The sequence below is a fragment of the Homo sapiens genome, chromosome 1 (genome assembly GCF_000001405.40).
Source record: "Homo sapiens chromosome 1, GRCh38.p14 Primary Assembly".
In the NCBI taxonomy this organism is placed as follows: Eukaryota; Metazoa; Chordata; class Mammalia; order Primates; family Hominidae; genus Homo; species Homo sapiens.
Genome location: NC_000001.11, coordinates 118123564 through 118148686, shown reverse-complemented (window position 1 = coordinate 118148686; position 25123 = coordinate 118123564). Strand labels below are relative to the sequence as shown.

General features: G+C 39.0%; 1 protein-coding gene across 7 annotated transcripts in view; it reads left to right on the top strand.

Moving 5' to 3' along the window:
- The window catches only part of SPAG17 (sperm associated antigen 17), a 231639-nt gene that overhangs the window by 36542 nt on the left and 169974 nt on the right, over positions 1–25123 (top strand). The window contains exon 2 of one of the 7 annotated variants that reach the window (XM_011540935.3): positions 2354–2491. The exons of the other annotated variants lie outside the window; for them this stretch is intronic. The gene's annotated coding sequence lies outside the window, so the exon portion shown is untranslated. The remainder of the gene's footprint in view (positions 1–2353; positions 2492–25123) is intronic. 7 annotated transcript variants of the gene reach the window in all.

The following is a 25123-nucleotide window of genomic DNA, read 5'->3' as shown; positions in this document are numbered from 1 at the left end:
AGAGGTGAAGCTGCCTAGGCTTCTGGGTCGGGTGGGGACTTGGAGAACTTTTCTGTCTAGCTAGAGGATTGTAAATGCACCAATCAGTGCTCTGTGTCTAGCTAGAGGATTGTAAATGCATCAATCAGCATTCTGTAAAAATGGGCCAATCAGCACTCTGTAAAATGGACCAATCAGCAGTCTGTAAAATGGACCAATCAGCGCTCTGTAAAGTGGACCAATCAGCAGGATGTGGGCAGGGCCAAATAAGGGAATAAAAGCTGGCCACCTGAGCTAGCACCTTGCAGCAGGTTCGTGTACCCTTGCCGAGTGTGGAGGATTTGTTTTTTCGCTCTTTGTGACAACTCTTGCTGTTGCTCAGTGTTTGGATCTGCACCAACTTTAAGAGCTGTAACACCACGAAGTCAGTGGCTTCATTCTTTGAAGTCAGTGAGACGAGGAACCCACTGGAAGGAATCAACTCCAGACACACTAGGACACTTGATAGTGGTAAACTCCTGAGGAGCGAAAGTCTTGCAACATCCCATTTCTCAAAGGAAACTCTGCACTGTGGGAGAAGAGATAAAAGATAATCTAACAAATTCCTTTTGTTACATGGTAACTTTTTAGAAACCTCCATTTTGGAGATAAGGAACTCACGATATAACAGCCATGCATTTAAACACCTGTATTTACTTCTACTTGTAGGGTACTCTCGTTAGCTTTAAATCAAAGCCTAGTTATTCTTATTTTAAACACAATTTTAATCAATTAGGCTTTCTGGTTTCCTAGCCTGTGGTTGATTAGAAGCAGCAAACTAAAGTGAGACTTCTGTATAGTATACTTCATCCATGAGTAGTAAAATAGTGTCAGAGCCACATTGCATATTTCCAATAATGACTCCAAATGTCTGGGCTAGCAAAGACCACATTCCTAAGTGATTTGCTCAAGTTTTCATTTGGATGGCATGGTGTTGTGTACACACAGCCTCATTATGAGATTGTGTAATTTCCCCTGAAACCTTAGAATTTCATCTAGCCATGGCATTGTATATATGAAAGTCTTTATTTATAAACCATAGTTCTTTGAAAAGCTGCTTAGATTTGTGCTAATGTAATTCTGTAGAGACGTAGCTGCAGCTCATTTGTTCATTCACATTCTCTTTTTGGAAAGCATGTTTTGCTCTACTAGGAACTGTTTCAAGAACTCATGTGGGAATGAGAACAGAATATTATTATTTGTGTATATTCTCAGGAATGTTGGCTACTGCTTTATCATCTCATTATTATTTAATAATGAGGATGAAGATGAACCCATGCACTGGCATATAAGCACCATTTCCCACATGTGAATCCTACTTGAGGATATGGACACATTTGAAAATATACGCTTATTGCCTGCATTATATAGTAGCCGGTTTTACCGAATATTAACAAACATACTCGTTAAAGCACTAGTGCCAGGCACTATCAGACGATGAAGAGAGAGGAAGGAATATTAATATTATAAAGACTCTAACCTCAAGAAGCAAAGACTCTAACCTCAGGAAGCTTAAGAACAAGCTAGAGAGAAAAAAGGACAAAATGTATATGGACATAAGCCTGGCGCGTGGTAGGCATTCAATAATAGTTGCTGCGTAAGTGAATAACACAATGCAGAAAATAGTGAAGTTCTTGAGAGACAGGTAAAGTGTATAAGAATTCAAAGGAAGATGAGATTATCATTAGCTGGGGTAGTTGGCAGGGAGGGGTGAGACCCAGAGACATTTTTGTGGAAACATTGCCATTTGAAAGGAAAGGTCCTGATAGTTTTGATCTTTTACATATATTACATCAGTTAGCCCACATCACAATTCTAAAAGGAAAGATAAAATCTCCATTGTGTGCACGGGGAAATGGAGGCATAGAGAAGGTAGGAAGTCTGCTCACTAGCAAAATGAAGAATTTGGATTTAACCAAAGGTAAACCTATAGCACCAAGTTTTTCTACTTTATCACCAACCAAGTAATCTTTCACTGGTCTACCCCTTGGATAGGTAGATCTTGACTTTCAAATGTGGAAGAGGGCATTCTAAGAAAAGGGAATAGCTCAAGCAAGGCCATAGGAATGAGAGAAGACCGAATTAATGTGTACTACATTTGTAGTTATATGGTATAATATATGCTAAATAGGAAAGATGAATTCCGTACATATTTTGATGGCAACTTTAAAATCCTAAAGATGGAAATCTATGAGGAAACATTTCAAACACTGGAAAAAGTACATGGTTTAGATTCATGCCTGAACTTAAGTATACTTGCTACCTATGCACAAATAATTTTCTGTGTATGTATGCTTTATGGCCCACATAGAAAATCTGACCTGTTCATTTACAGGTATAGTCAGTCCTGACCAAAATTAAAAAGGAAAATATCAGTAGTCATTCAAAACCAACTGAAATGTTCTCGATGAGAGAGTTCTACGTGTACCATAGATGCCAAGATTCTCCCAGTTGTGACTAAATCTGATACACAGTAAGTGAACTTTATGGGATAAATGTGCAAATTTTAGGTTTGACATTATCACTTTGGTAAATCAGAAAAAGCTACTAGTTGATAGGGGTTTACTTATCCAATTTATCTGAAATCAGAACCAACCATCCTAAAAGTTTTTAAATTCCACTTCATGTTTCTTTTCATTTCATGATGGTGGTCACCATGCCTACCAACCAGGAAATGAGCCTTCATCCACACAAATGGGCCGTGATTTATGTGCCTGTGACTTATTTATAAAAGACGCATTAGGTCATCACAAAATGAAAAATAAAAAAAATGAAAAGCTTACTGAAACAAAAATTGTCTATAAAGAATAAAAGTTCTTATGCTCTAGTTGATGACTCACTTATTTCAAAACAATTTTCCAAGTTTCTGTACAATAAAGAACTTGAACTATCCTAAACATTATGTGATATGGTGCAATTTTGTAAATGCAAATAATTATTAATTTTTTTTTTACTCCTGTCAGTAAAAAAATTCTCATATTTTTAAGAAAATAATTTTTAAAATAACTTTTTAACAAATATATCTTAAAATATTTCTACGGGCCTTTCTATTGCAACCGGGAGACCATCAAATGTGGAAAGATTTTTCTGATATTAGATTTAAAAATAATGGACCAAATGCAGTTTAATAAAATGTAGAATGCAAATTAGATCTTCAGATCTAATGCATTTCACCATACTTTAAGACACTATGCTAGTGCCTCAGATTAGTATGCCCAGATGTAATAGTTCCATTTTTTGACTTCTGTTTCCTGGATGTATAGAAATTTTTCTCAGGTCTTTTCCAACATGTATTTATTAGTAATTGACAAGTGAGAACACAGGCTTAATTATAATCTATTTTGCCACTCTTTTTCAGATTCCTGATATGAAACTCATTTTTTAAACAGTGCCTTGAATTAATAGTCAATTTAATAGAATTGTAAGCCCTTATATTGGGGGTGGCCCTTGTCAGAATGAAAAATGGAAAACTCATGCTTCAGAGATAGGTACAAATAATATGTGAAAACATTTAAGAGGTTTGAAGTTATTAAAATGGCAGCTCTACTGGGAACAGAGAGAGCAGTATGTCATGGAAGAAACGAAGGAAAAGGGAGACAGGAAGCATTCTCTGGCCTTTTCAATCCCGCGCTTTAAAACAAAACAAAAAAATTCTGGAAGAATTGGAAGCTAGCCAACCTAATGCCGTTATTTCATAGAGCTTAGGGACACACCAGGAAATTGCAGGCCAGTTAGTTTAACTTCACTTGTAGGAAAAGTATTAAAAACTGCTGCAGGAGATCAAGTAAAAGGATGCTTAGAAAAGCACAGCTTGATTAAGGCAAGCCTGGCCAACGTGATTTTCGGAAAGGGAAGGTCATGTCTTAGGAACTTGTTGAAATTCTTTGAAGCTATTATGGCCAGTACAGTCTTCAAAGAATACAGCAAGACTCAGAATCTGCGGATCTTTCCGTTCCACATCAGTCCTTCAGGGATGCCTACAGAACGTGGCCCACACCAGGGCCTCGGCACTCCACATTTAGAAACCACTATCAAAATAGCAGAAATAACCCCTGATGGAACATTTTTTAAAGCTGGAACCAATTAATACAACCTGATATTTATAAATGTAAAATAATGAGACTTGGAACAAAATTTGGGAATATCAAGCTGTAACAAAGAAGTGCTACGTTGGGACTATAAAAACAATCTAGGAGTTCTTGTGCCAAAATCTGGGTTTTGGAGGCATTTCTTACCCGAAGAAGGAAAGAAGAGGAGAAATAGTAATGCTAGAAACGGTTACAAAGGGCTATGAAGAGTTACAAATGAATGACTTTTGTCAAGATGGGGAAAAGAGCAGTCAGATGTGTTAACAGCCCTGGGCCCCCACATTTCTGGAGGGCACCAAAGCAGCTCAGCAGAGAAAGTCAAGTTCAAGCTAGTCACTGAGGGGCAGAAGGTCAGGGCTCCATTGCTTTAGGAATGGGCTCCCAGGGTGTGAATACGTTTGCCTCCCAGATCAGAAACCTGGAGTTCTATTTTCAAAGAAAAGCAGAACTCAAGTAAAGGCATTCAAAAACAATTCAAATCATGCCCCAGCTCTCTTCCACCCTGGGGGTCAGGCAGCTGGCCAAGCCCATGTGGCAAATAGTTAGCAGTCCAGGAGAGGGGAGGTAGACACTGGGGAGGTGTGGTGGTGATGCAGTGGAGCCGGGGATCCAGCAGCAGGAAGCCCATGCCACACAAGGACTGGGTTGCTGGCTAGGACCTGCAGGCAGTGGGCAAGGCAGGAATCTCATCAGGAGTTCCAAGACAGACCTCAGTGGAGGGCCAGCCACAAGAATAAAGTGAGGTTCAGCTAATGAAGAGAAGTCATCACAGCTTCTCCTCCAGGTCTGGGCTGGGGTGGTTTCTGAAACCTCTTAACACCCTATACTCTACAGACACCAGGATTGGAGGGGTGCTGGGGAAGGAATCAAGAAGATTGTATCATTCTGTTTCTGTATTTAAAACTGTGAAAAATCAATAATTACATATGGTGATAATAAAAGTTACCACTTATTGAACACATGTATTCCAAGTCTTGTGTGCTGGGTAGTTCATATATATCAACTAACCTAATCTCTTTTTTTTTGGCTGGCTTTTTTCTTTTTGTGGGGAACAGGAGCGTGCTATGTTGCCTGGGTAAGTCTTGAACTCCTGGGGTTCAAGCTATCCTCCCGCCCCTGCCAGCCCAATTACTGGGATTATAGGTGTAAACCACTGCACCTGGCTAACTTAACCATCTTAACAACCTTTCAGATACCTATGAATGATGAAATTTGAATCAGACTGGTTAGGTAACTTGTTGATTCAGAAGTCTGTTTTTTCTACTTGCATCACACACAAGCTGAGAATAAATAGTTTAAATTCTGGAAGTGACTGTTGTGGTTTAATATGTCTTCAATATAAGCTACTGCTAGTTACTTAGAATTAAGCTTTAAATCTCTCAGTAGTTCTATGATATGTTTATTACTTTTCCTTCTACTCAGGCAAAAACATGAAGGTATATCTGCAGATGATGAAGAGATCAAATAATTTCAGTTGGAGCTTTTAAGCCACTTCGATGAGTGGCTTTTGCCCACATGTTTGGGTCAACAGGGTTTTTTAATTCTTATGGTTAAGATTTATATGGTTAAGTGACCATGTCTTTTCTTTGGAGGATGAAAGAAAGAAAGATGGAAAATAAGAGGGAAGTTAATACATATTCAGCAGAGATCAAAGTGTGGAGAGACCTTTCTAAAATCTCACTAATTAAAACTAATTAGAGGTAAATTCATCTCCAGAGTACCTACCACTAGTTTGGTGAGCGATATACCTAGTGGTTAAAAGTATGGAACCAAACCAGACTGCCTGGGATCATGTCCTGGTTCCACTGCTTGCTAGCTGTGTAATCTTGCACGAGTTACATAACCCTGCTGTACCTCTGTTTTCTCTTTGTAAAATCCTCGTAAATGATAGTATCTATCTTATAAAGCTGTAGTGGTGATTACATGGGATAGTAAATATAAAATACTTATTACCTGGCACAGACTTAAGTGTCCATAAAGTTTAGCTATTACTATTACTATTATTTTTAAAATTTCTATTCTCAGCAATATTCAACATCAGAACATGAAAATACTAGAAACCCATTTATGAGCAGGCTTTAAATTTTTTTTATTATGGTAAAAATATGTAACATAAAATTGCCATTTTAACCATGTCTAAGTGTATAATTCAGTAGTGTTAAATATATTCACTTTGTTGTGCAACCAACGTTCACAACTTTTTCATCTTGCAAAACTGAAGCTCTATATCCATTAAATGACAACTGCTGATTTCTCCTGCACCCTGGCCCCTGATGACCACTGTTCGATTTTCTGTTTCTACGAATTTGACGACTCTGGATACCTCATATAAATGGAATCATATAGTATTTGTCTTGTTGTGCCTGGTTTGGCATAATGTCTTCAAGGTTCATTCATGTTGTACCATGTGTCAGAACTTCCTTCTTTATTAAAGCTGAATAATATTCCAATATGTATATACCACATTTATCTTATGCATTTATCCATTAGTGGACACGTGGGTTGCTTCCACCTCTTAGCTCTGCTATGAACGTGGGTGTTCACATTGTGAGGAGGTTTTTCTCTAAGTGGAGTATGATTACTGAAAGTTAAGTAGACATTTAATTAAGCAAGTAAGGGAAGAAAAGAAGTTAATCAGTGGTCAAAGGATATTTGCAGTGTCCCATTATACTAGTCCTCATGGCCGTGATGGAGACTAATATACATTATTCTTCTTTGTTATGTCATGTAAGGGGTCAATATGACGGAACACCTTAAGAAACAAACAGCAGTAGTAACCATTTCTAAAATAAATAATTTTAAAAATAAAATTTCATGTTTATGTAAAAAGATGATTTTCACACTGCTTATTAAATCTTCACGTGAACTGGGCAGAACAGTTAAAATTAATCTCCATAGTGCAAATGAAGAAATGGAAGCCCAAAAACTTAAATGATTTGTTCACAGTCACCAATGGAATCAGCGTCAGTTCTTCTAATAGTCTAGAGCTTGCTCTACACCTGGCAGAAGGGAGTTCTCATTCATTAAAAAGTTCTTGCTCATTTATTTACCACAAGAAAATTGTATATAATGGATAAAGATTTGCTTTATTACCTAGACATTTATTTTAATGTGCATTAAAAAATAAAATTAGACTAACTTGCAACTCCCCCAACACTGTGCTTCGGACAGAGCTACCTTATTTTTTTAAAACTTGATTTACAGTCAGCTTAGAGAAAATGATTAGGTTTATAGTACAGGTGGTACATAGCTTTGGCTAAATCATCAAATGATAGTCAATGACTAAGGTTTAGGAAATGTTTCATTTTCATGCATTCCATAAATATTCAAAGGTCTATTATGTACAAAATCTATGATTGGATTGACCTTGGTGAACAAAATAGTTATAACTGCCTGGCCTCATATAATTTACATTTGAATGGGGGAGACGGACATTAAGCAAAACTCAAAACAAGCAAACAAATATATACACAATTTTGAGTTAGTTTCATTGCTTTAAATCAGAGAGAATTACTGAGGAAAACACTGTAGGCTGAGTGTTTGGAGATGAATGAAAGGAAAAGAAGATCCAACTGAAAAGAGCAAGGGAAAATATTCAGGCAGAGGGTGCAAAAACCCTAAGGCAGGAATAAAGAAGGCCCGGGTGCCTGTAGCACTGAGAGTGGGAGACAGGAGAAGCCCAAAGAGGCCACATCTGCTGGCTGGTGAGTCCTTGTTAAAAAGGAGTTTGCCGTTTTATTTCATAGGAAATTAGAAAGCCATTAAGACTTTAAAGAGGAGAATGACACAATTAAGTTCTTTTAAAAAATATTTTCTGGCTGCCAAGTGAAGAATAAATTAGGATGAAGGCAGGCAAACATGGAAATGAGACCAGTTAGGAGGCCACTGGGGGTATCCAGGTGGCAATGGGGAGAGCACACAGATTCAAGGAGAATATTTAGAAGGAAGAATTTGGCAGATCGGTGCCCTTGTGAGATGTGAGGGGTGAAGAAGAAGCTATCAAGAGTGAATCCCATAGTTCTGGCCTGAGAGACTGAATAAAAATATCCTTTTTTTCTTTCTTTATGTTTTATAGTTTCATTCCTTTTTATTGTAAATTGACATTTATAATTGAATACATTTATGGGGTAAAAAGTGGTGTTATAATTTATGAATACAATGTGGAATAATTAAATCAAGCTAGTTAACATATCCATTACCTCAAACATTTAACATTTTTTGTGGTGAGAACATTTGAAATTTAACAATTTTGAAATGTACAATTCTCTATTATTAACTATAGTCACTACACTGTGCAAATTTAAAAAAAGAAAAAATGTATTTTTCCTTTTAAACTGAGATTTTCTACCTTTTGACTATTGTCTTAGTCTGTATTCTGTTGCTTATAACAATACCTGAAATTGGGTAATTTATAAAGAAAAGGAATTTATTTTTTATAGTTAAGGAGGCTGAGAAGTCTCAGGTCAAGGGCACCCATCTGGTGGGAGCCTTCTTCCTGGTGCGACTCCATGCGGAGTCCTGAGGTAGCACAGGAAATCACACGGCAAGGGGGCGAATATGCTAATATGCCAGCTCAGGTCCCTCCTCCTCTTTTTATAAAGCTACAAGTTCCCCTCCTGTGATCATCTATTAATCTATTAACCCAGTAATCCATGAATGCAAAGCCCTATCTGGTCACTTCTTAAAGGTCCCACCTATCATACTGCCACAATGGGGATTAAGTTTCAGCATGAGTTTTGGAGGAGACATTCAAACAATAGCAACCATCATCTTTCCATTCCCCCCACCCCCCAGTCTCTGTAACCACCATTCTACTTTCTGCTTCTATGAGTTTGATTTTTAGATTCCCCATGTGAGTGCATGCAATATTTGTCTTTATATGCCCAACTCATTTCACTTAGCATAATGTTTTCTGATTCCATCACAAATGAGAGTTTCCTTCTTTTTTAAGGCTGAATAGTATTCCATTTAATGTATATACCATATTTCTTTATCTATCCATATGTTGATGAACGCTTAGATTGATTCCATACCTTGGCTATTGTGAATAGTACTACAATGAACATGGAGGTGCAGACACCTCTTTAACAAGTTGATTTCAAATCTTTTGGGTAAATACCCAGAAGTGAGATTGCTGGATCATATAGTAATTCTATTTACAGTTTTTTGAGGACCCTCCATAGTGTTTTCCATAATGGGCTGTCGTAACTTATATTCTTGCCAATAATGTACAAGGGTTCCCTTTTCTCCACATCCTGGCTGACACTTGTTATCTTTCATCTTTTTGAAAAAAATTATCTGACAGGTGTGAGATGATACCACATTATGGTTTTAATTTGCATTTCCCTAATAATTAGCAATGTTGAGCATTGTTCATATATCTGTTGTCTATCTGCATGTCTTCTTTTGAGAAATGTCTATCCACCCCAGGTCTCTTGCCCATTTTTTTTAAATTTTTTTTCTTGTCCATTTTTTAATTGACTTTTTTGTTTTCTTGTTATTGAGTTGTCTGGGCCTTTTATATATTTTGGATAGTAACCCCTATCAAATATATGGCTTACAAATATTAAAAATATCTTCTATTACAGAGAAAATTAAAGGAAGTCTAAATTTGGGGGAAGTCTGAAAGTATAGTTTGAGATAGTTTAAGTCACATATGTCTGAGGGGTATCTAAGAAGAGATATCAGGAAGAAAGATATTTTTAGTGTATTTTTCATTTTTTGTATCCTTATGTGCCTAACTCAGTGCTGATACATAGTAAGTATTGTAGAAGCGTTTGTTGTCTGAAAGAATTAACTTACTAAGAACTAATAACAAAATACCATTAAAGACTATAAGAAGTAAATAATGAGCCATTTTAACGGTAGTAATTCAGTAGTAATTGCTGGTGCTTTCCTGGGTACCAGCAATTTTGGTCCTTTCCATTTTCCCTTTATTGGTTCCACATTTTCTACAATGGTTTGTATATGTGGGTGGCATCCCAGTGGTTCACAAAGAAATTTGGTTGGTTTCAACTAGCATGTGTGTATATGTGTGTATATGTGTGTATATGTGTGGTTTGTGATGTAAATAATTTTTCTTCTATAAATATAGGTCAACATTTTTGAAAAAACACTGCCTTAGAAACCTTGAAACCTATTCTCTATTACATTTCCTCTCTCAGCCTCTCACTTAATCCTGGGCTAAATGATACAGTGTTCACTCATCCCCAGTCTTTCCTCACCCAGCAGACATTTGCTGGGTTTCTATTATCTGCTGGGTAATGGGCACAAGATTGAGTTAGACATGGTCTCTGCCCTCAAGAGCGCATAGTCAATAATTTTGCAAACAACGTATTTGTTTCCTATTATTTTGTGACATTTTATCATAAGAAGCCAGATATAAAAGCTGTATATTTAAGCCGTGGTTATAATTGAGTCTGTTCTTCATTGAGCTCTGTGGCTGACCTCACTTATTGTTCACAACTTCCAGCCAAAAGGGTCATGATCCCCAGACAGAGTATATTGGAAAGGAGAAGGAGGGAGAGACAGAACACTTACCCAAATAGTCAAAGATGCAACAAAAATACAGAAGGCCTTGTTTCCTTAGAGGGGGAGAAAATACAGTTGCAATTGAAATATGGTAACAATTTTCATGCTTCTGCATGTTTTTAATGTGACCTCTATTTCTGAAATTCTTTCTCCTCCATCTTCAGCTGCAAGAAAAGGAAGAAGAAATACCAAAGTAAACATGGGTATAGGCTGGGAGGATTGACTATTGGATAGAAATTCATTTATATATTGAAAAGGTACTGTGCATATTATAGGCACTCAATATTAATTTGAATGAATGAATTTCAGATATATTTATACATTAAAATAATTTACTCTTCTATTTCACAAACATGATTGGCCAAAAAAATCACTCTGCAAGGTAATTGAAATATGATTTCTATATTGCTTCAATAAATACTTTAAAAATAATTACGGATTTAGTAGTTTGAAACACAGGAAACAAATCCTACACAAACTCTTACTCAGAAAAACTGAAATTGTTCAATAAATGCCTTCCTTTAAAAGTTTATATTTTAACTTCATACATATTTGGATCACAGTGCTCATACCATTTGAAATCTGCAGAACTCTAATGGTGAGCTAGGCCAACAGGATGCCCTGCATAGTACCTGGTACCCATGAAACACTCTTACACTAACAAGCTTATCATTGTCCTCATGAGCCTTTATCAGAAATTCATATGGAAAGACATTCTATCTGGGCTTACTCATTCATCAGGCAATCCTTAGTTAGAGATTATCCTCATTATCAAATGAATCACCAAATTATTTTCATTATTTTGAATTATTATTGTTTCATTTATCCCTGGAGTTGCAGAGAAGCCAGAACAGTCTAATAACATGTCACATAGTCACAGGCCACCACTGCCAAGACCTACATCTTTTGTGAAGAGCTACTCTTGTTGCATGCTCAAAGATCCATTTTAGGAATATCATTGAGGGAAAAAAAGATACAGGCTCTATCTGGATTTAATGCAAAGGCCTAATATATTACATTTCGTAACTAATGAGATTTTGAGGAATGACAGCAAATTTCTGATTTGCTCTTTCCCCCAGTAAAATGTCTGCTTTGAGTTATGCAGAAAGAATTCTTCTTCCTGCCAACTTGTTTCAATTCCCTATGCAAAAGCATCCACAGAACATTGTCAGGGCTTTCCTATGGAGGTTCATTTCATGATTCCTCCATCATTAAAAACACACACACACACACACACACACACACACATACACACACACACACTTTACCCCTTTCTTTAAAACAAGCAAAGGAAAATGCATTGGTGAGGTTTGTATGTGGTGCTTTCCCTTTCTGAAAGCAGAGACAAGTATTAGTCATCAGATGGGGAAAAGAGTTTCTCCGTTTCACCCTGGGCCAGCATCCTGTTTTATGCATGCAGGCCCGCCCTGTGTGTAGGTGGAGAAGGCAGTTGCCGTGTGATGTGATTTAAGAGGTGCTGGAAGTTCTGCCTGTCCAAAAATAGCCCCCACACCCGCCTGTTGAATTCAGGCACAGTGTCCATAAAACCATGGTTTAAATGAAATGAAACTGCATTTTTAGAATGTTAACCCATTATATTCGTTATCCTTTCAGTATGCATTTATTTATCAGAGATAAAAGCTGGATCCTGAGGGGATGTACATGCATTCGGGGAGAGTGAGGAAGCGGTTAGCAAAGTCTAAGGCTAAGAGTAATGATGCAAGTCACTGGAAGCAATTTCTGCATACCACGAGTGCATTTGTTAAAATTAAACTTCTTCCATATTCATTCAGATGGTCCATCAGTCTTTTTTGAATCAATATTTTCTGGAACATGACATTTTCTCAAACAGGCAATGCTCTTTGCTGGAACCCCTAAAAAGAATTTAAGAATGATAAATAACACACATTTGGAAGATGGTTTTTAGAGTCCAAAATACTTTCACAGTATGTCAAATTTTGATCCCACCAACAACCTTGTATGGCAGATTTAAGGCTTACTATGCTCATGTAGAAAATGAGGAAAGAGCCTCAAAGAGGTTAAGTGACTTGCCCAGTGCCTGCAGTTATTAATGACAGTACCTCGCAATGGAACCCAGTCATTCTGACTCCAAATCCAAAGTTTGCTCTCTTCCTTCAAGCTCTTCAGGACACAATCCCTGCAGTCAAGGAGCTGACAATTAACTTTAACCTGCTTAAAGCTATCTGTCTAAACTAAAGAGCGAGACCTGGAAGCTTTTTCCAGTAGTAGTAGTAAGAAAGTGTTTCCCATTGTCTTAAAATTTCCAGTTGCACTGTGCCAAAGACTCTGCTCACACACATTTGGCCTCAGAAATTTGCGTGAGGTTTTACAAGTTTACTCATAGCATTCCCCATGCAGAAAACATCTCACATTTAGAATACTGACCACTTTTCACAAACTTGTCAAATACAACAGTAAACCAAGTCAGGGAAAATAAAAATGTGAATGGTCAGAAATTAACTTAAGATATTCTCCAGAAACACTTAGAACCTAGGGGTGATTTTGAGAGTGGGGTTAGGACCTGAAGTGACTGCGAAGCCTAGGATTTCTTTATCAAAACAGATGTGCTTTGCTCCATAATTGAACACACCATACCCCACACACACACACACACACATACACACACACACACACACACACACACACACACACACACATTGCTTGAGCTGATAAACCACAGTTTTGTAGTATCTCCAGCTCATTCCTCCTTTGGTTCTGGCACAGTAAGTTCATAGCACTTCCCATGACACCAGACACTTTTTTCTGAACTAGTGAACTAGCACTGCTTGCTTTCCTGGCCTTTCAGCAAGCCTGGTTTGGTGAGAGGAGGGCTGGCTGGATGTCCGCCACCACCTGCTGATCACAGGGGTCCCGTTTATAATACAAAGCATAACCCACACAGCATTTGCAAAGATCTGGGTAATTTGTGTGCTAATTCTTTTATTCAGCACATATTTTACTGGTGGCCTTCCATGTGCCAATCACAAAGTTAATTCCAGCCTTCAAACAGCTTCCAGTCTTATGAAAAACAGATAGGGAAATGAACAGTTGTATCACATTTTAAAAGGTGCAATGAGTGCACCGAGCAATGCTTAAATCTTTTTAAAGTTTTGAGAGTCAAATTTTAGGAAAATGGCTTGAAAGCTGAATGAAGAAGTCATGAAGGAGGAGAGGAATTCTAGGCAAAGGAATCAGGCCATGCAAAGTCAGGCAGACAGACAGCAAGGTATGACCAAGGAACTCTAGATGGTATCTCTGATGTGTATAAGGAGGGAAATTGGAAGGAGTAGCCAGGAGTTAGTCTGGACAGGTGGCTCAAGGACAAATCATAAAGGGCCCTAGTATGCCTTGCTAAGGAGTGTATGGTTTATCCTTTAGGTATGGGGGGCCATTGAGGAATTCTGAGCAGGGGAGTAATATGCTAGGCAAAGATGTTAGAACCACAGTACGGGAATAATTCCATGGGAAGTTGGAGGGGTGGCACTGTTAAAAGCAGTTCATTGCTGGATGCATTTAAATTGTACATATATTTTATTAGCTGTTTTATTATTATAGCAATGCATGTTAACTGCAGAAAATTTGGAAAATATAGAGAAAGCATACCTCATATATTAGGTAGGTACTTAAGTAAGGAAAATATTCCACCACTCAGAGATGTATACTTCTTGTTATAAAATAGGAATTATATTATATATGCTCTATATCATATCATTTCCACATACTGTGATGTTAGCATTTTTCTAAATCCTTATTCAGTGTATATATAATAAAAAGCATGTTTTTCTATTCACTAATTTATTTAACCACTCCCCCTTTTGCTAAATTTAGACTGTTTACCAATAGCAATGACCCTGATTGTTTCCTTATGAAAATTTCATAAAGTAGAATTACTGGGTCAAAGCATATAATTCTTTTTAAAGCTCTTGACATATCTTGCCAAAGTGCATTCAAGACAATTTGTATGAATTTACAGTCCTTCTGATAGTTCCAATTTATCCATGCCCTCTTCAACCTTTTATTTTTATTCTAGTCAATTTGACAAGCAAAAATTATAAGGTTGAACATTTAATCATATTTTGATTGGCTGTGTTTTGTGAGTATGGAATTCTTTAAAGTGAAATGATGGTGTAATTTTGTTTTCAGACTCCTTGAGATAATGGGAGGGACTCTGTATTGTCAAAATTCAGGCTAGGGAATATTTCCTTTAAGTAATTTCACAACAGATATTAGGTGCTGTGAATAATACAAAAAGGATAAGCCATCGTCCGGGCCCTGCACAAGCTCACAGCATCCTTCAGAAGAAGGACATGCAGGCAAAACTTCTAACAAAGGCTCAGCTGCAGGAGGTGCCTCAAGGGAAATATGAACAAGGGCTGTGGCAATGGGAGCAGGGAGAGTGATCCCAGATGAGGAAGTCTGAGGGGGTTGATGCAGGAACCTCTTTGGCATGAGACCATCTAATTTCCAACCTCTTCTTGCCTCCTTGTACCAGTGGCATGCCTCAAAAATCACCTAAAGAGTTTGTTTAAAATGCCAATTCCAGATCTTAGCCACCATGATGGGGATTAGGAGTATCTTCAGGAGAATCCAGGAACATACCTTCTGAAAAAGCACCTAGGTACTTCTGAGCCTGCCCTTCTCCAAGGGCAGCCACACTTACGTCCACTTGCCGCTCACAGTGCCAGAAGGGGGATTGCCCTCCTCAACGATAAACTCTCTCTCCATCTGCACTCTGGGCCCCCTCGCGACCCACCCAGAACTGGACTGTGGCACTGCTTATCAATTTCCATTGCCCATCATGCATTCATTCAGTCTTTCCTTCATTTTTGAGCACTTGTGCTGGCCACTGTTCTAGTTGCTGGAGGATATTCATGCCTTCAGGATATTCACATTCTCCAATCTGTTGGAGCTCTGCCCAACTCACAGTGGTCAGCGAAGGGTTAGAAAATGTTCATGCTGGCTGGGCATGGTGGCTCACACCTGTAATCACAGCACTTTGGGAGGCTGAGGTGGGCAGATCACGACGGCAAGAGATCGAGACCATCCTGGCCAACATAGTGAAACCCTATCTCTACTAAAAATACAAAAAAATAGCTGGGTATGGTGGCACGCACCTGTAGTCCCAGCTACTCAGGAGGCTGAGGCAGGAGAATTGCTTGAACCCAGGAGGCAGAGGTTGCAGTGAGCTGAGATTGCACCACTGCACTCCAGCCTGGCAACAGAGCAAGATTCCATCTAAAAGAAAAGAAAAGAAAAGAAAATGTTCACGCTTTGCCTATTCCCCTGCTTTGCAAGGCAAGGATGGCACTGCCTGCATGCCCAGAGGTACCTAATGTCTTTGTCTTACAGCCTCTGTCTAAATTAGAATACTTCTGCTAAATTAAAATACTTCTGCTAAACATGCATGCTTCCAGTACTAGGTGTAGTTTACCATTACACAAAGCTAGAGGGGGAAGATACATAGTGGAAGCTCTGAAATACAGAAAGATTTTGAAGTTTGCCATGGGTTACCAAAATATCTAATAAAGCCTGGGGTTTTGCTCATATGAAGATAAATAAAATGCCTAAATTCATAAAGAGATTATATATCTGATCGTGTCACCCTTGGTTACCTCCCTCCAGTATCAACCTCATCCCCCAGCCCAACCCGGCACCCACAGCCACTTTCCAGTTTCCTGAATATGCTACTTTCTCTGGCCTCAGTCCTTCTTCCTGGGTCACTGCCTTTCTCTGGCCTCAGTCCTTCTTCCTGGGTCACTGCTCTCCTCTCGTCACTCTTCCCCAGTCTCATACCACCTGACCTCAGTCATAGCCACCCCCACTGATCCTTCACATTTCAACTCAGGAGTGACACCTGCAGGGAGCCTTTGCTGACTCTCCCAGTGTGGAGAAGGCACCCTCTGGGGCCACCACAGCACCCTCGCTTACCTCCACTGCTGGGCACAGCATGCGATACTGTCCTGAATGCTCCATGTGCCTTGTAGATGATCTCCCCAACTCCACGAAAAGCTCACTATGGGCAGGGCCTGCTTCTTTTGTCTTTGAATATCCAGCATTGGGAATATAATGGGTGCTCTGTAAAAGTTTGATGAATTAATGGCAAGGGGAATCCTTAAAGTGTGGGCCAAGTTAATCCATAACCAAGAATGGCTCCATCTCAACAGTTCATGAAAAGAGGACATCACCAGGTTGCACCACAGGAAGAGTCCAGCTATAGAAAATCCTCTGAGTAAGGATGAACAACATCAACAGTGCACCCTTCAGGGGACCACAGTTACCTCAGATTTGATCCAGGCCAACCAGAAAATCCAAGCATGGGGGACTCACAATAGGAAAAGCTCTAGGTAGTGGTGAAATTTGCAGTTAAACAGCATAAAACATGGTACACAATGGCCATCTGATTTCATTCAAAAATTATCTAATCATCTACTATGCTCCAGGCTTTGAATTTAGATCAACGAAAAATAGTAGATAAAAGCCAATATCCTGGCAGGACTTACTTTTTAATTGGGGAGAGGAAGTAATGGAAGAGATAAATAAAGTATGTATTATGTTAGATGGTAATAAGAACTACAGAGCAAAAGGGAGGAAAGGGTGAGAAGTAGAAGAGTTACTAATCTGAGTAGCCAGGGGAGCAAAACTGGATGGTGACACTTGAATAAAAATCTGAAGGAGGGGATGGAGCTATGTGGTCATCTGGGGAAGAGCCTCCCGAGCAGGGGAAACTGCAAAAGCAAAGGCTCTGAGGCACATTTGGTGAACATCAAGAAGGGAGTGGAGCTGAAATGGAGTGATAGAAAATGAAAGCAACAAGAGATGTGGCCAGTCCATGTAGGAACTAATCTGAAGCCACAAAAAGAATTTTGAAAGGAACCTCAACCAGGCAGTATGAGTGCTGGGTTCAGAGTCTAATCCTAAGGAATCTATATCCTAAGGAAGTGTCTAAACTGTGATCTGGCTCACACCTCATAGCTCATTGTGGTTTGAGTCCATGATAGGAGTCCACTAGAGAAAAGACTAGTCAGTTCCAGAAGTTAGAAAAAGGTACACAAAAGAGAAGCAGACATCACATTGGCTGGAAGAGCAGATTCTAAAAACATGGTGCTGTATCTAAAGATTAGTACCACCACTATTTAACCCCTGTGTTCTTGGGAAAGAATCTTGGTCTCTGAACCCCATGAAATAATGTTTGTAGTACGGTGTCTAGCATAGAATATGCACTCAATAATCCACAGTATACTAAAATATTTATCATTAGGTTATTGGATCCTGAATAAGAGATGAATAACCATGTTGGACATGGCCTCCTGGTGGGGGAATTAATGTCTTTGTTGCTTCTGATAAGATTGGCTCAGAAACTGGGGTGAACATGAGGCTCTGGGAAGGTCATCAGTGGATGAACTGGAAGGACTGGGGAAAGTGGGGTTGGGGATGGAGTTAACTAATGCCATTCTACCGCAGTCTTGAGATGGCTCCCCTTGAACTTGCTGTCTCAGGGTGGCCAGCTGTCCTGGGTGCCAGGGACTATCCCAGTTTTAGCACTGAAAGTTCAATCCCTGGAAAACCCCAGAGTTGGTCACCCCAGTGTCAATATGTAAATGACCTTTGCATAATTCTTAAACTCAAAAGTACTTAGGAATCCCTAGAAAGCTTATTAAAATGTCATACTACTAGGCCCAAATCAATTCCAGAGATTGATTTAATAGTTGTGGGGTAGATCCCAGGTAACCCATATCTTTAACTAGGTTCCCAGAGGTTCTGGGGTAGGTGGCACACAGCATACACTGGAGGAAAACTGTCCTATGGGAAACTATGCAGCATCCATCTGCTCATTAAGGGCTTTCCCAGTAGTCAGCCAGGAGACATACCCTGTATGCCTCCTAGAGCTAACTAACAAGTCAAAGAGATTAAGGGGGAGGACAAGGAAATTCAAGGAATAAGCCCTTTTATAAGCAGATTTCATTCAGATTAATACTTAGAAATTAACAACAGCCTAGAACATCATCCACATCAAGCTGGAGAAACACTACAACTTTTTGATAATTGTGGAGAAACCAAGAACTTAGGGTAAATGAAGACAGGGCTGATACACTGAATACATTCTTTGTCTAGCAGGACATTAGCAGAAATCCCACTCCAGGACTCCAGGCTGTCCTCTGAAAGGGGCAGCTTAGTAAGTCTAAATGGAAGAAGAAGAGGAAGAGGAGGAGGAGGAAGAGGGAGAAGAAGAAGACAAAGAAGAGGAGGAAGAAGAAGAAGGAAAGAAAGAAAAAGAAAAAAACAAAGAAGGAAAGAAAAGAAAGGGAAAGAAAGAAAAGAAAGAAAGAAGGGAAGAGGAAGAAGAAGAAGGTAGAGAAAGAAGAAGGAAGAGAAGGAGGATGGGCAGGGGGAGGAGGAGGAGAAAGAAATTAAGGAAATATAAATGCATAACTGAGAGTTAGCAAGGGCAAGGGTGAAACTGACAATATGTGGGCTAAATACATTATTATGAAAGGCCACATAAGAAACCAGGTACAAAACAATGGTTCTCAAATCTAGCGTATATCAGAATCACCTGAGGTCTTGTTAAAAGCAAACACTGCTGGCCCTACCCCCAGAGTTTCAGATTCAGCAGGTCTGCGTTGGAGCCCAAGAGTTACGTTTCTAACAAATTGTCAGGTGATACTGATGCTGCTAGTCTGGGAAACACATCTTAGTATTGTCTGGTTAATTTTTAAAATTCTATTAATTAGAAGGCATAAATCTCTCCATATCAGTATCAATTTGTTCATCTTCTAAGTTAACAACAACAAAAATTAAAGTTGGCTTAAACAATTAGGAAATGTACTGGCATGCAGACGTAGAAGTCCAGGCAGGCTTCAAGGTCAGCTTAGTTCAGGGGCTCCAGCCCACTTCCCTGCTGTGCTCTTACCCCTTCCTTCATCTGTGTAGGAGCTTCAGCTTCCCGAAGAAGGTAAAGTGGCTGCAGCAATCTCATCCCTTAAGACTCTTCCCAGAGCTTTGTCATGACCAAGGAAACCAGATCAAGCAGCCCCAGAAAACCATGCCTCATTCTACTGGCCTGAACAAAATCACATGCACCTCTTGAACCAATCATGGACAAGGGGGGTTAGGATTATTTTTAGTGTGAAGGGGCCCACCCATGGAGCTGTGTTTCCCCTGAGTCACATGAGCTGAATGAGAGAGAGGGCAATGCCTGAAAAAAAGTCAGATTCTCCTATGAAGGAAGGTGACATGATGGAGGAGCAATCAGCAACCTCTAGTCTGAGAAGTGGAACATGGTATCCAAACCAAAGGCTAAATTAACACATCTAGTGCTCCAGTGTTGGGGTGCAGGAAGTTCAGGGACCAGCCATATTCAGATAGCTAAGCAGGCAGCATGAGTCAGTCAGTAACTAGTAGGGTCTCAATCACTAGTCTCAGACTGAAAGCAGGATTTTTAGGAAAATGATTTAAGATTTAAAGAGAAGGAAGGTAGAAAATGGAGGTGGCTGCCAGCCTGAGTCATTTCTACGAAGCAGGGAAATACTGAAAGCCTTTCCTCTAAGAACTGGAACAAGATAAGGATGCCCACTCTCACCACTTCTATTCAACATAGTACTGGAAGTCCTAGCCAGAGCAATCAAGTAAAAGAAAGAAATAAAGGGTATCAAAATTGGAAAATGGGAAACCAAGTTGTCCCTCTTTGCAGTCGACACGATTTTATACATAGAAAAACCTAAAGACTTCACAAAAAACTTTTAGAACTAATAAATTTGGTAAAGGTGGATATAAAATCAACATACAAAAATCAGCTTTTCTATACACCAATAACAAACTAGCTGAAAAATCAAAAAAGCAATCCCATTTGCAACAGCTGCACAAAAATAAAGTAAAATGCCTAGGAATCTTTTTTTTTTTTTCTTTTTGAAATGGAATCTTGCTGTGTCGCCAGGCTGGAGTGCAGCGGTGCGGTCTTGGCCCACTGCAACATCCGCCTCCGGGATTCAAGCGATTCTCCTGCGTCAGCCTCCCAAGTAGGTTAGACTACAGGCATACGCCACCATGCCCAGCTAATTTTTGTATTTTTAGTAGAGACAGGGTTTCACCATGTTGGCCAGGATTGTCGCAGTCTCTTGACCTCATGATCCACCCACCTTGGCCTCCCAAAGTGCTAGGATTATAGGCATGAGCCACTGTGCCCAGCCACCTAGGAATCAATTTAACCAAGAAGATGAACTATCATTACAATGGATACTACAAAACACTGTGAAAGGAACTGTAGAAGACACACAAAAAAGAAAAGATATCCTTTGTTCATGGATTGGAAGAATGAATCTTGTCAAAATGACCATACTACCCAAAGCAGTCTACATATTCAATGCAATCTCTACCAAAATACAAATGACATTCTTCAGAACGAGATAGTTTAGATATTTGTCCCTACCCAAATATCATGTTGAAATATAACCCCCACTGTTGGAGGCAGGGCCTGGTGAGAGGTGTTTGGATCATGGGGTTGAATTCCTCATGAATGGCTTGGGCTATCCCCTTAGAGATAAGTGAGCTCTTGCTCTGAGTTCACATGAGATCGGGTGGTTTAAAAGTGTGTGGCACCTCCCCACACTCCCATCTTGCTCCTGCCTTCACCATGTGAAGTGTCTACTCCCACAGTTGACTGTGAGTTTCCTGAGGCCTCCCTAGAAGCTGCGCAGATGCCAGCACCCTACTTCCTGTACAGCCTACAGAACTGTCAGTCAATTAAACCTCTTCTCTTTATAAATAATCCAGCCTCAGGTATTTCTTTAGGGCAGTGCAAGAAAGGCCTAATACACAGAAATAGAAAAAAAAATCCTAAAATTAATATGGAATCACAAAAGACCCCAAATTCTCTAAAGCGATACTAAGCAAAAAGAACAAAGTGGAGGCTTCATACTACCTGACTTCAAAATGTATCCCAAAGCTACTGTCACCAAAATAGCATGGTACTGGTATTAAAAGAGATACACAGACCAATGGAACAGAATAGAGAACCCAGAAATAAATCCATAGTTACAGTCAACTGATTTTTGACAAAAGTGCCAAGAACATACAATAGGGAAAGGAAACTTCTTCAATAAATGGTGCTGGGAAACTGGATATCCATATGCAGAAGAATGAAAGTAGACCTCTTTCTCTCACCATACACAAAAACCAACTCAAAATGGATTAAAGACTTAAATGTAAGATCTAAAACTATAAAACTAGTAGAAGAAAACATTGGAGAAATACTTTAGGACATTGATATAAGCAAAGATTTTTATGCATAAGACTTCAAAAGCACAGGCAAAAATAAAGTAAAAATAGATAAATGGGATTACATCAAACTAAGAAGCTTCTGCACAACGAAGGAAACAATCAACAGAGTGAAGAGACAACCTATAGAATGGGAGACAATATTTGCAAATTATTCATCTGACAAAGGACTAATATTCAGAATATATAAGGAACTCAAAAACTTAACAGCAAGAAAATCTAATTAAAAAATGGATAAAGGAGGCCGGGCGCGGTGGCTCACACCTGTAATCCCAGCACTTTGGGAGGCTGAGACAGGCAGATCACAAGGTCAGGATATCGAGACCATCCTGGCTAACACGGTGAAACCCCGTCTCTACTAAAAAAAAAAAATACAAAAAAATTAGCTGGGTGTAGTGGCGGGCGCCTGTAGTTCCAGCTACTCGGGAGACTAAAGCAGGAGAATGGCATGAACCCAGGAGGTGGAGCTTGCAGTGAGCCGAGATCGCGCCACTGCACTCCAGCCTGGGCAACAGAGCGAGACTCTGTCTCAAAAAAAAAAAAAAAAAAAAGGATAAAGGATCTGAGTAGACATTTCTCAAAAGAGAACATGTAAGTGGCAACAGCTAGATGAAAAATGTTCAACATCACTAATCAGGGAAATACAAATCAAAACCATAATGAGATATGATTTCACCCGTTAGAATGGCTATTATCAAAAAAAAAAAAAAACAGAAAATAACAGAGGCTGGTGAGGATGCTAAGAAAAAGGAACTCATAGACTGTTGGTGGGAAAGGTTTTTAGTGCAGCCATTATGAAAAACAGTATGGAGATTTCTCAAAAAAACTAAAAATAGAACTACTATATGATCCACCATTCCCCTATTAGGTATTTATCCAAAGGAAAAGAAACCAGTATATTAAAGAAATATCTGTACCCTCCTGTTTACTGCAGCACTATTCACAGTAGCCAAGATATGGAATCAATCTGTGTCTGTCAACAGATGAATGGATAAAGAAAATGTGTTATTTATACAAAATGGAATAGTATTCTGCCATAATAAAGAATGAAATCCTGTCATTTACAAAAACATGGATGAGCCTGAACAATCTAATGTTAAGTGAAATAAGTCAGACACAGACAGATAAATACCACATGTTCTTACTCATATGTGGAGCTAAAAGTGAGCTTATAGATGTAAAGAGTGGAGTCGCAATTATTACAGTCAGGGAAGGGGAGGAAAAAGGGGAAGAAAGGGAGAGGTTGGTTCATGGATACAAAATTACCACTAGATAGGAGGAATAAATTCTAGTGTTCTATAGCACTGTAGGTGAATATAGTCTAATAACTTGTATGTAGTTCAAATAGCTAAAAAAGAAGATTTTGAATTGTTCCTAACACAAAGAAATGATAAGTGTTTGAGGTGATAGATATGCTAATTACCCTGATTTAATCATTACACACTCTACACATGTGTAAAAATATCACTTTGTATCCCGTAAATATTTACCATTATTATATGTCAAAAATATATATATATATATGAATACAATAAAAAATAATACAAATTTTTTAAAAAATTGATATGTGCTCAGGCCAGGAGACGAGCAATAGCTGGAGCTATCAGGACTGAGGGTCCTGAGTCACAGGTCCCCACTAGGTCTCAGGAAAAAAGAAACAGCTCAGCTATTTAGAGTTGAGGCATCAGGTAGGAGCAAAACTAGTAAGGGTAGCAAGAATATTTAAACATAAAAACCTGGGCTAAAAGGCTCTCAGGCTCTTGCAGCTAAGATGGGGATTGGCCATGGAGACTGGGGAGGGACTAGGACACATCCATGCCCAGGAGAAGAGGGACCGTGACCCAAGATGGGAGTCCAGTAGCTCCAGCTAAGGGGTGAAAAGGCCCACTGTGAGGCCACACAATATGTTGACTAGAAACAGGATTCTGGAACCAGATAGCCTGGGTTCAAATCCCATCTCTACTAATTACCGGCTGTGTGATCACCAGGCCTCAGTTTCTGTATCTAATAAAATAGGTGATAGGAATACTCACCTCAAAAGTGTAGGTGAAAATTAAATGGATTGGAATATGTGAAGTGCCTGGAACGGTCCTTGTCCAGCACAGGGTGTGTGCTACATAACCATTTGTGTGTTACACAGTCTGAGCACCTACTACTACTTGAAATATATTCCTAAAGCTTTGTAATTGCAGCTATAAACAATCAAAAACATTTACCTTCAAGCCAAACAACAAAAAGCTCTAGAGATGCCATTCTTATGTTTATTTAAGGAGTGAATATACTGTTTGTCTATATATGCATCAGATTCTGTGAGGGGATTTCAAAAGATGAATCTGAAAGGATTTAACCTTCCAAGCTAGTAGAGGAGACAAACCCTGTGCACAAATAATTTTAATACAAGAGACAGCTAAATCCCTTAGGAAATATACAAAAAACGTTGTAGGGTTGTTCAGAAGGGAAGGTCACTACAACTGCAAGGACCAAGAATGACTTCAGAGGGGTGGGAGCATCTTAGACTAAGGAAAAGATCTTAGTCTAAAAACCAAAACAAAACATTGCCATGATAGTAGAATCGTTTGTTGCTAATACACACCTAAAGAAAAGCCCTTAACTTGGTATGTCATTCTTCCATACGTTATCACATTCAGCTTCATGTGCCTTTATACATTTTGCAAGTATACAAAAACAAAAACACTCCTTAATAAAAAGGAAGCTTTGCTTTTTCCTTCTTTGAAGAGTAATTCCAGCAAACATTTCTAAAATAGTCCTGTGCTTTTTGACATGCACATATTGGTTGTTCAAAATGTACACCTCCCGTAGGAAATTCATTACATTTTAAATTATACATGTCTGTTAAAGCATAGATCTGTTCTACCTTCCATGTATTTGTTATTGCTGCTTCTGAAACTTCCTTACAGCCCCAAAGAGGTCTTAATCCCTGTCAAATGTTATTATGTTACCAACTTTTATGTAGTCTTGAAAGGGGTTGTTTATTTAGTTTCAGTGACTCCTTGTTACTGCCAAATATTATTTCATTTCAGCACAGATGTAAGGGGTCCAATGACTGGAATTATTTTACAGCCCTGACATTGTCGAGAGATGGATACCAGTTTAATTATGGACAGCTGAAAATGATCTAGGAGTCACCTGCTACAGATATTTATCATCATTATGAATTTCTCACCAAGCTG